At 36.7% G+C, this 12,685-nt stretch overlaps 2 long non-coding RNA genes across 2 annotated transcripts in view; one reads left to right on the forward strand and one right to left on the reverse strand.

Annotated features, from left to right (window-relative positions):
* LOC124902137 (uncharacterized) overlaps window positions 1–12,685 on the forward strand; it is a 137,318-nt gene that overhangs the window by 28,746 nt on the left and 95,887 nt on the right. The gene's annotated exons all lie outside the window — the stretch shown is intronic.
* Window positions 4,644–12,685, reverse strand: part of LOC105376011 (uncharacterized) — a 36,289-nt gene continuing 28,247 nt past the window's right edge. The window contains exon 9 of the long non-coding RNA XR_929543.3: window positions 4,644–5,110. This is a non-coding gene — a long non-coding RNA (uncharacterized LOC105376011). The remainder of the gene's footprint in view (window positions 5,111–12,685) is intronic.

Below are 12,685 nucleotides of genomic sequence, written 5' to 3' on the forward strand. Positions count from 1 at the left end.
AGAAACTTTTGGGCTGAGATGATGGGGTTTTCTAAATATAGAATCATGTCATCTGCAAAAAAAGATAGTTTGACTTCTTCTCTTCCTATTTGAATACCTTTATTCTTGGCCAATTGCCCTGGCCAGAACTTCCAATACTATGTTGAATGGGAATGGTGAGAAGGGTATCCTTGTCTTGTACTGGTTTTCAAGGGGAATGCTTCCAGCTTTTTCCCATTCAATATGATATTGGCTGTTGGTTTGTCACATATGGCTCTTATTATTTTGAGATATTTCATTCAATACCTAGTTTATTGAGAGTTTTTAATGTGAAGGGATGTTCAACTTTATCAAAGGCCTTTTCTGCATCTATTGAGATAATCATGTGGTTTTTGTCTTTAGTTTTAGTCTACTCTGAATTATCACTAAACGTGCTTTCACACACATCTTTACAAAATAAATGAAATTAATGATCCTTAGAATAGTATGAGATTTTCATAAATACAAGCAAATTTATCTCTAAGTATTTTTAGTAGTTTATATTCAGAGCAGCAGAGTATAAGAATATCAATTTTTCTCACCTCTGCTAGCATTGAATATTAACATGTAAACGTTTTTGTGTGTCCTTACATATTAAAAAGATAAAACTTTATTTCCTGCTCTAATTTTCATTTAAAAAAATCTATTTTCAGTGGATAATTTGTTTCTGCAATTTTGACTTAAAATATATATTGAGTGCCTATTTGGTGCAAAATATATTGCCAACAAGATATGCCATTTTTTTATTCATTTATTTACTTATTTAGGTCTTGCTATTAAACATTATTTGTATTTTTCTTGTTGTGATTTCCAGTTTTTTGTTGCACTTTTTAATTAAAATATTTGTCTTTTCCTAAATGCTTTGTAAAAATCCTTATTACAGAATACCAACTCTTTGTCCCTCATACAGGCTAGCCTGCCATTATGCTTCTTGTTTTGTGTGCTTTTCAGTAATATTTATATGTTAATATTTTTATTTTTTAAATTACATGTTTTTAGAAAGTTAAACAATACAGAAAGCTAAATAGCACAAAAGAAATTCCCTGAATTCTCTATACCTAGAAATTTCCACTAAATTTTTTTAAATTTTAACTTAAAAATTTTATTTTTTATTTTTTGTAGAGATGGGGTCTTAATATGTTGCCCAGGCTGTTGCTGACCTTAAGGAGCTCCTGGCCCCAACTGATCCTCCTGCCTTGTCCTCCCAAAGTGCTGGAATTATGGGCATGATCCACCATGTGCAGCCTAGAAATATTTTACAAATATGTTTTATACACATTTACTTGTGTAACACATAGGTAAATTTAAATTTAAATTTAGATTACATTTTGCACTTAAATACTAGTCACTGATACTTTTTTATCGATAACTTTTCCCATTCTTGAGAACTTATTTTAAATCATCATTCCATTGCCTGAGATGCAAGGTTTAGTAATTTCTATATGGAGCATAGAATTGTGTATTTAACATAGTATTGTTGTTGTTTTCATATATAAATGACCTGTGTTGTTTACATAAATAAGATCATATATGTCATTTTTCAATATTTTCTAATAAATAACATGTTTTGTGAGTCTTTCCATTTCAAGAAACATAGATCTTCATCTTTCTTTATAATGACTGCATTGTAATATAGATCTATGTCATACTTTGCTTAGTTAATTCTTTAATAATGAATTTTAGGCTCTTTCTAATTTTTCACTACAATAAGCAACACTACCATAAATTCCCAGCACATTTTTTTTTGTACTGACCTGATTGCTTCACTGTTGAGCATATAATTAAAGCAATCCATAGAGACTTTGATCAAGATTGAAATTGATAACTTTACTGGGAATTAAAATTTTGAGGTTAAAGACTTTTTATGTGAATACAAGTATAATGTCACATTTTAAAAGTCTGTCAGTAAATTTCATATAGTTTTCTCTTCATAGCCCCATTTATATCATGTGTCCAAAGTATCATGGAGATAATTTTCCTTTTTATCTTTCTGAGCCAATTTTTAAAGTTGTATACATTTTATCATGTTGTATTAATAAAGAATATTAATGTACTAGGCCGGGCACAATGACTTACGCCTGTAATCCCAGCACTTTGGGAGGCCGAGGCAGGCGGATCATGAGGTCAGGAGATCAAGACCATCCTGGCTAACACGGTGAAACCCCGTCTCTACTAAAAGTACAAAAAAATTAGCCAGGCGTGGTTGCGGGTGCCTGTAGTCCCAGCTACTCGGGAGGCTGAGGCAGGAGAATGGCGTGAACCTGGGAGGCAGAGCTTGCAGTGAACCGAGATTGTGCCACTGCACTCCAGCCTGGGTGACACAGCGAGACTCCGTCTCAAAAAAAAAAAAAAAAAAAAATTAATGTCCTAATAACAAATGAAGAAATTATTACACATATTATTAAATTAAAATAAGTAATAATAGTAGCTAGTACCGTTATATTATCATTTTCAACATTGGAATTATATTTTCAAATTACTAACCAAAAAAAAAATTAGTGCATTTATTCTGACCTGCATCAACTGAATTAACAAAGTTACTTCTTCACATCTTTATTCTCTCAACTGTTGTTTTGTTGAGAGATATACAGTCTCAGATTTTTCATTTGTTTTTGTTTTTAATGTTTGTTATTATGTTAGTGTACTCTTTTTCAGGACTTACGGCATTTGGATTTTTAGTTGTAATTATATTTAAATTTAGATTACATTTTTCACTTAAGTACTAGTCACTGATACTCTTTTTTATTGATAACTTTTCCCATTCTTGAGAACTTATTTTAAATCATCATCCCATTGCCTGAGATGCAACGTTTAGTAATTTGTATATGAAGCATAGAATTGTGTATTTAACATTATATTGCTGTTGTTTTCATATATAAATGACAATTTGACTGGGTAAAGCACTTTCTAGCCACAGACCTTTTTTATTCTCAAAACCCTATAGATACATTTTTTTACTCCTTCCTTTTTTTTTAAATTATACTTTAAGTTCTAGGGTACATGTATACAAAGTGCAGATTTGTTACATAGGTATACATGTGCCATGTTGGTTTGCTGCACCCATCAACTCATCATTTACATTAGGTATTTCCTTATTTTTAATGATGTAAATTGACTGAGGATGATCTAGTATTTCTTCTTTTAATAAAACTGTTTTTTGTGGTATAGAGGGAGGGACCACGGGGCTCAGTGCTCTTCAATGCTTATAAGTTGGGTTTTTTAAATAAAATAATAATAATTATTAATTACTAATAATAAATTATCATAATTATATAAGTAACATGTAATCAATAATAACATTTTATAATTAACAATTATTGGCTATAATTATCATATAATTGATTAGATTAATTATAATAATTATTATTTAACATATATATTTGTATGAGCCCTGCTTATTTAATTTTTCTGGGACTACTGCAAGCCATTTTAACTTTGCAAATTTATCTTCACATCAGAAAATCTTTCTTCCAATACATCTTAGATCATTTTCTTGTTTTCCTTTTGCTATCTCTTCTTCATGACTCCTAATGTTGTATATATACATTGATGCCGTTTGCCGTATATATATATAATCTCTTCTCATATTATTTTTACCTCTCTCAAATTTATATTCCACATCATTTCTGTAATTTTACTTGGTATAGGTTTTTCTTTATTCATGTGTGTGTTATTTAAAATTCTATTTTTAAGTTATAATTAGTTCACCTTCCTTAACTACAGTCATCTTCCTTTTTATTTTATTGTCATTGGTATGAATTCTTTTTCAATCTTTTTTATTAGAGTTAATATTATATTTAGTTTTACAGTTTTATTGATTGCACAGAACAGGATCTATTTATTCTAGATTTTTTAGTTTTGTTTAGGTTTGCTGGGTGGTTGGTTGGCTTGTTGTAAAACCTTTCCAGAAGAACATATATGCACACTGAAGCTTTCCCCTTTTTCATTATAGTAATTTTTGAGAGACAATAAACTCCATGCTATACATTCCTTCCACTCATTCTTGCACAAAAACTCTAGGTAGGCCTTGCATTCATGGGAAAACTATGTAGATGGATTCTCTTCGGTCACGCTCACTCTCCTCCTAAATGCTGCCAGGATTTTCTTGAAGCTTATGTGTGAGAGTTTCCCACTATAGCACAAAGTAGCCATACGATGGATTAAGCACCCTATAGGAAGCGGGGTGTGTGTAGGGGGACAATGAAAGAACTTGTTTTTTATGCTTTCTCCTCTGAATATGATAAAGCTGTAGCCAAGAGGAAGTTTTCCCACCTCGTTTCCCCTAGTCCAGTTTCAGCTAAGGGAACAGCTTGAAGCTAAGCTCCCCCTTCCTCCTGGCTCTATTTCCTTTTCGCTAGGCTGAACTTCAGATGCCTACGTGCATTTTCTTTTCTTTAATTTTTAATTTTTATGGGTACATAGTAGGTGTATACATAGGATAAATGAGATTTTTAAAGCAGGCATACAATGTGTAATAACACATCAAGGTAAATGGGGTATCCATCATTTTTAAATAACTAAAATAGTATATTTGGAATGTTTGTAACACAAATAAATGATAAATGCTTGAGGTAATGGATACTCTATTTACCCTGATGTGATTATTACCTGCATTTTCTTCAAGTGACATTTCCTAACCCTGAGAGAACAAATACAGATGCTTCGGAACAATCAAAGAACTTTTCAGTAAAAGTGTTCCAGTACCTCATTTGACTCATGAATCACCTTGGTCCTTAGACCTCACTCTGAAAAATGAAAAATGTTAATATGTGTTTGCTTAATTTATTCTACTTAAATCTGTGTCATTATCCAACATGCTTTCATAGAAAATAAATGTACCAAAATCATCTGTCATCCTTATATTTAATAAAGTAGTGCCTTATGAACAGTGGAAGCCTCCTTTCAGAATTTCTCTTAGACATGGATATGTACTCTTTTGTAATAAAATGGAGCCCATGGTCAAATTATGAAGTATCAGGCTGGAGGCAGAATGCTTTATTTGAACCCAGGGGCAAATTTACAACAGGTATTTTGGTAGGTGTTAAACAGAAAAGCTTCAGCATGACGGTTGTCTGCTGTCACGGAACAGAGTCTAGTAGGAAATAAAGATAAATAACTAATTAATTAAAGTTCTATGTGATAAATGGTAAGGTAGGGAAAGCTTATTCAGTTATACTATTTAAAAGTTCCTGCTGTCTAAGGCTCAACATAGGTAGTGATGGATATCTTAATTAATTTGATTGTGGTAATCATTTAACAATTTATATGTATATAACATCACTACATTGTACAACTTGAATATATACAATCTTGTAAAAGTTTTTCTTTACATTTTTAACATAAGTAAATATTTTGTAAATGTAGGAAAAGTTTATAGTGCGATGACAGCATAGCATAGAAGTGTTAGAGAACACAGTGTTCTGTGTGTTAGTGTAAGAGAACATAGAGAAGTTTATAGTGCATAGAGAATATATCATGTAATTCAGATTTGTGACATCAAAAGCAGTTTCACAGTTTCAGATCTGATGAGTCAAAGGTAGTCAAGTTGAGTGGAGTAAGGCTGTTTTAGGATGTGACAAACAGGCCTTGCAAGGTCTTACCACAGGGTTCTGAGATTCTTTGTAGTAATTATCCCTTCATATGCAAATGTTGGACATAATAAAGAACATATTCTTAGGAGTCTTGGGCCATTCCATCACAAGAGAAAATGTATGAAGCTCCTAAATTTTTTTTTCCTTATATATATGTTTATTATACTTTAAGTTCTAGGGTACATGTGCACAACGCGCAGGTTTGTTACATATGTATACATGTGCCATGTTGGTGTGCTGCACCCATTAACTTGTCATTTACATTAGGTATATCTCCTAATGCTATCCCTCCCCACTCCCCCCACCCCACAACAGGCCCCAGTGTGTGATGTTCGCCTTCCTGTGTCCAAGTGTTCTCATTGTTTAATTCCCACCTATGAGTGAGAACATGCGGTGTTTGGTTTTGTGTCCTTGTGACAGTTTGCTGCGAATGATGGTTTCCAGCTTCATCCATATCCCTATAAACGACATGAACTCATCCTATTTTATGGCTGCATAGTATTCCATGGTGTATATGTGCCACGTTTTCTTAATCCAGTCTATCGTTGTTGGACATTTGGGTTCGTTCCAAGTCTTTGCTATTGTGAATAGTGCCACAATAAACATATGTGTGCATGTGTCTTTATAGCAGCATGATTTATAATCCTTTGGGTATATATCCAGTATGGGATGGCTGGGTCAAATGGTATTTCTAGTTCTAGACCCCTGAGGAATCGCCACACTGACTTCCACAATGGTTGAACTAGTTTAAAGTCCCACCAAGAGTGTAAAACTGTTCCTATTTCTCCACATCCTCTCCAGCACCTGTTATTTCCTGACTTTTTAATGACCACCATTCTAACTGGTGTGAGATGGTATCTCATTGTGGTTTCGATTTGCATTTCTCTGATGGCCAGTGATGATGAGCATTTTTTCATGTGTCTTTTGGCTGCATAAATGTCTTCTTGTGAGAAGTGTCTGTTCATATCCTTTGCCCACTTGTTGATGGGGTTGTTTTTTTCTTGTAAATTGGTTTGAGTTCTTTGTAGATTCTGGATATTAGCTCTTTGTCAGATGAGTAGGTTGTGAATATTTTCTCCCCTTCTGTAGGTGGCCTGTTCACTCTGATGGTAGTTTCTTTTGCTGTGCAGAAGCTCTTTAGTTTAATTAGATCCCATTTGTCAATTTTGGCTTTTGTTGCCATTGCTTTTGGTGTTTTAGGCATGAAGTCCTTGCCCATGCCTATGTCCTGAATGGTATTGCCTAGATTTTCTTCTAGGGTTTTTATGGTTTTAGGTCTAACATTTAAGTCTTTAATCCATCTTGAATTAATTTTTGTATAAGGTGTTAGGAAGGGATCCAGTTTCAGCTCTCTACATATGGCTAGCCAGTTTCCCCAGCACCATTTGTTAAATAGGGAATCCTTTCCCCATTTCTTGTTTTTCTCAGGTTTGTCAAAGATCGGATAGTTGTAGATGTGTGGTATTATTTCTGAGGGCTCTGTTCTGTTCCATTGTTCTGTATCTCTGTTTCAGTACCAGTACCATGCTGTTTTGGTTACTGTAGCCTTGTAGTATAGTTTGAAGTCAGGTAGCGTGATGCCCCCAGCTTTGTTCTTTTGGCTTAGGATTGACGTGGCAATGCAGGCTCTTTTTTGGTTCCATATGAACTTTAAAGTAGTTTTTTCCAGTTCTGTGAAGAAAGTCATTTGTAGCTTGATGGGGATGGCATTGAATCTATAAATTACCTTGGGCAGTATGGCCATTTTCATGATATTGATTCTTCCTATCCATGAGCATGGAGTGTTCTTCCACTTGTTTGTATCCTCTTTTATTTCATTGAGCAGTGGTTTGTAGTTCTCCTTGAAGAGATCCTTCACATCCCTTATAAATTGGATTCCTAGGTATTTTATTCTCTTTGAAGCAGGTGTGAATGGGAGTTCAGTCATGATTTGGCTCTCTGTTTGTCTGTTCTTGGTGTGTAAGAATGCTTGTGATTTTTGCACATTGATTTTGTATCCTGAGACTTTGCTGAATTTGCTTATCAGCTTAAGGAGATTTTGGGCTGAGACAATGGGGTTTTCTAGATATACAATCATGTCATGTGCAAACAGGGACAATTTGACTTCGTCTTTTCCTAACTGAATACCCTTTATTTCTTTCTCTTGCCTGATTGCCCTGGCCAGAACTTCCAACACTATGTTGAATAGGAGTGGTGGGAGAGGGCATTCCTGTCTTGTGCCAGTTTTCAAAGGGAATGCTTCCAGTTTTTGCCCATTCAGTATGATATTGGCTGTGGGTATGTCATAGATAGCTCTTATTATTTTGAGATACGTCCCATTAATACCTAATTTATTGAGTGTTTTTAGCATGAAGGTTGTTGAATTTTGTCAAAGGCCTTTTCTGCATCTATTGAGATAATCATGCGGTTTTCGTCATTGGTTCTGTTTATATGCTGGATTACGTTTATTGATTTGCGTATGTTGAACCAGCCTTGCATCCCAGAAATGAAGCCCACTTGATCATGGTGGATAAGCTTTTTCAGGTGCTGCTGGATTCGGTTTGCCAGTATTTTACTGAGGATTTTTGCATCGATGTTCATCAGGGATATTGGCCTGAAATTCTCTTTTTTTGTCGTGTCTTTGCCAGGTTTTGATATCAGGATGATGCTGGCCTCACAAAATGAGGTAAGGAGGAGTCTGTCTTTTCCTATTATTTGGAATAGTTTCAAAAAAAATGGTACCAGCTCCTCCTTTACCTCTAGTAGAATTTGGCTGTGAATCCATCTGGTCCTGAACTTTTTTTGGTTGGTAGGCTATTAGTTATTGCCTGAATTTCAGAGCCTGTTATTGGTCTATTCAGAGATTCAACTTCTTCCTGGTTTAGTCTTGGGAGGGTGTATCTGTCGAGGAATTTATCCATTTCTTCTAAATTTTCTAGTTTATTTGCATAGAGGTGCTTATAGTATTCTGTGATGGTAGTTTGTATTTCTGTGGGATCAGTGGTGATCTCCCCTTTATCATTTTTTATTGCGTCTATTTGATTCTTCTCTCTTTTCTTCTTTATGAGTCTTGCTAGCAGTCTATCAATTTTGTTGATCTTTTCAAAAAACCAGCTCCTGGATTCATTGATTTTTTTGAAGGGTTTTTTGTGTCTCTATCTCCTTCAATTCTGCCCTGATCTTAGTTATTTCTTGCCTTCTGCTAGCTTTTGAATGTGTTTGCTCTTGCTTCTCTAGTTCCTTTAATGGTGATGTTAGGGTGTTAATTTTAGATCTTTCCTGCTTTCTCTTGTGGGCATTTAGTGCTATAAATTTCCCTCTACACACTGCTTTAAATGTGTCCTAGAGATTCTGGTATGTTGTGTCTTTGTTCCTGTTGGTTTCAAAGAACATCTTTATTTCTGCCTTCATTTTGTTATGTACCCAGTAGTCATTCAGGAGCAGGTTGTTCAGTTTCCATGTAGCCGAGCGGTTTTGAGTGAATTTCTTAATCCTGAGTTCTAGTTTGATTGCACTGTGGTCTGAGAGACAGTTTGTTATAATTTCTGTTCTTTTACATTTGCTGAGGAGTGCTTTACTTCCACCTATGTGGTCAATTTTGGAATAAGTGTGATGTGGTGCTGAGAAGAATGTATATTCTGTTCATTTGGAGTGGAGAGTTCTGTAGATGTCTATTAGGTCTGCTTGGTGCAGAGCTGAGTTCAATTCCTGGATATCCTTGTTAACTTTTTGTCTCGTTCATCTGTCTAATGTTGACAGTGGGGTGTTAAAGTCTCCCATTATTATTATGTGGGAGTCTAAGTCTCTTTGTAGGTCTCTAAGGACTTGCTTTATGAATCTGGGTGCTCCTGTATTGGGTGCATATATATTTAGGATAGTTAGCTCTTCTTGTTGTATTGATCCCTTTACCATTATGTAATGGCCTTCTTTGTCTCTTTTGATCTTTGTTGTTTTAAAGTCTGTTTTATCAGAGACTAGGATTGCAATCCCTGCCTTTTTTTGTTTTCCATTTGCTTGGTAGATCGTCCTCCATTCCTTTATTTTGAGCCTATGTGTGTCTCTGCATATGAGATGGGTTTCCTGAATACAGCACACTGATGGGTCTTGCCTCTTTATCCAATTTGCCAGTCTTTGTCTTTTAATTGGGGCATTTAGGCATTTACTTTTAAGGTTAATATTGTTATGTGTGAATTTGATCCTGTCATTATGATGTTAGCTGGTTATTTTACTCGTTAGTTGATGCAGTTTCTTCCTAGCATCAATGGTCTTTGCAATTTGGCATGATTTTGCAGTGGCTGGTACCGGTTGTTCCTTTCCACGTTTAGTGCTTCCTTCAGGAGCTCTTTTAGGGCAGGCCTGGTGGTGACAAAATCTCTCAGCATTTGTTTGTCTGTAAAGGATTTTATTTCTCCTTCACTTATGAAGCTTAGTTTGGCTGGATATGAAATTCTGGGTTGAAAAGTCTTTTCTTTAAGAATGTTGAATATTGGCCCCCACTCTCTTCTGGCTTGTAGTGTTTCTGCTGAGAGATCAGCTGTTAGTCTGATGGGCTTCCCTTTGTGGGTAACCCAACCTTTCTCTCTGGCTGCCCTTACATTTTTTCCTTCATTTCAACTTTGGTGAATCTGACAATTATGTGTCTTGGAGTCGCTCTTCTCGAGGAGTATCTTTGTGGCATTCTCTGTATTTCCTGAATTTGAATGTTGGCCTGCCTTGCTAGGTTGGGGAAGTTTCCCTGGATAATATCCTGCAGAGTGTTTTCCAACTTGGTTCCATTCTCCCTGCCACTTTCAGGTACACCAATCAGACATAGATTTAGTCTTTTCACATAGTCCCATATTTCTTGCAGGCTTTGTTCGTTTCTTTTTATTCTTTTTTCTCTAAACTTCTCTTCTCGCTTCATTTCATTCATTTGATCTTCCATCACTGATACCCTTTCTTCCAGCTGATCAAATTGGCTACTGAAGTTTATGCATTCATCACCTAGTTCTCGTGCCATGGTTTCCAGCTCCATCAGTTCATTTAAGGCCTTCTCTACATTGGTTATTCTAGTTAGCCATTTGTCTAATCTTTTTTCAAGGTTTTTAACTTCTTTGCCATGGGTTCGAACTTCCTCCTTTAGCTCAGAGAAGTTTGATCATCTGAAGCCTTCTTCTCTCAACTGGTCAAAGTAATTCTCCGTCCAGCTTTGTTCCATTGCTGGTGAGGAGCTGCGTTCCTTTGGAGGAGGAGAAGCACTCTGATTTGTAGAATTTTCAGTTTTTCTGCTCTGTTTTTTCCCCATCTGTGTGGTTTTATCTACCTTTGGTCTTTGATGATGGTGATGTACAGATGGGGTTTTGGTGTGGATGTGCTTTCTGTTTGTTGTTTCCTTCTAACAGTCAGGACCCTCAGCTGTAGGTCGCTTGGAGTTTGCTGGAGGTCCACTCCAGACCCTGTCTGCCTCAGCAGCGGAGGCTGCAGAACAGCGAATATTGCTGAACCGCAAATGTTACTGTCTGATCGTTCCTCTGGAAGTTTCGTCTCAGAGGGGTACCTGGCCATATGAACTGTCAGTCTGCCCCTACTTGGGGGTGCCTCCCAGTTAGGCTACTCGGGGATCAGGGACCCACTTGCGGAGGCAGTCTGTCTGTTCTCAGATCTCAAACTCTGTGCTGGGAGAACCACTAGTCTCTTCAAAGCTGTCAGACAGGGACATTTAAGTCTGCAGAGGTTTCTGCTGCCTTTTGTTCGGCTATGCCCTGCCCCTAGAGGCGGAGTCTACAGAGGCAGGCAGGCCTCCTTGAGCTGCGGTGGACTCCACCCAGTTCGATCTTCTTGGCTGCTTTGTTTACCTACTCAAGCCTCTGCAATGGTGGGTGCCCCTCCCCCAGCCTTGCTGCCGCCTTGCAGTTGGATCTCAAACTGCTGTGCTAGCAATGAGCGAGGCTCTGTGGGCATGGGACCCTCTGAGCCAGGTGTGGGATATAATCTCCTGATGTGCCGTTTGCTAAGACCATTGGAAAAGTGCCGTATTAGGGTGGGAGTGACCCGATTTTCCAGGTGCCGTCTGTCACCACTTTGCTTGGCTAGGAAAGGGAATTCCCTGACCCCTTGCACTTACCGGGTTAGGTGATGCCTCGCCCTGCTTTGGCTCAAGCTCGGTGCACTGCACCCACTGTCTGACAAGCCCCAGTGAGATGAACCTGGTACCTCAGTTGGAAATGCGGAAATCACCCGTCGTCCTTGTCGCTCACACTGGGAGCTATAGACTGGAGCTGTTCCTATTTGGCCATCTTGGAACCCAACCGAAGCTCTTAAATTTTTATTATTTTTTTCTCTTCTGGAACTTCCATTAAATTCTTTTTTTATGTGATTCAGGTATCTGATGAAATACTAAACTATGTCATATAATTTCTTAGACATGCTAATAATGGTTATTTTAAAATCAATCAAAGTCTTCTGTGGATATGTTTCTATTTTCTCTTGGTTTTTTGCCAATTGTTCTTTTCTCCTGGCATGCCGGGTAATTTTCCCGTAAATGCTGAGCACTATAAATTTCAGAAAATTACAGCGATAATTTAAGCTCTGGGTGAGATCATCTTTGCTTGAGAAGTTGTGTTTTGTTTCTATCAGGCAGTTAGCTAGTGGCAGGTAATCTTAATCCGGTCTGGGATTGAGCTGATTTAAAGCTTGGTTTCATTCTTGATGGGTGCTAGTCTATTTCTAGTTTATCTACATTCCTGTGGATTCCCCTTTGTTTGCCTCAGCTGAAAGCCTGTACTGTTTTCTATGGTTTCTTCTAGTTGACCTTCCCAAAACTCCAATTTTTGCTTTCTCTGCTCTGTGAGATTGCCAACAGTTACTGCTCAGTGTCTTAGTATCTAGATTACCACTTATAAATTGGCATATATTATAAAGGGAAAAACGTAGGTGAATATCAAGTTTAACTTAACACATGCTTTAAGCACTTTCAAACATGCAGATTGTAATATTCTCTATCCAACTTTTCTAGTGGGTTTTAGTAGTAGTGTTACTGGTGAAGGAAAAGTCACAGTCTCTTCCCCTTATGGTTTTTCAATTAACATTGATTCAATTAAGTATTAACTTATTGTTCT

Source organism: Homo sapiens, chromosome 9 (genome assembly GCF_000001405.40).
Source record: "Homo sapiens chromosome 9, GRCh38.p14 Primary Assembly".
Classification (NCBI taxonomy): domain Eukaryota; kingdom Metazoa; phylum Chordata; class Mammalia; order Primates; family Hominidae; genus Homo; species Homo sapiens.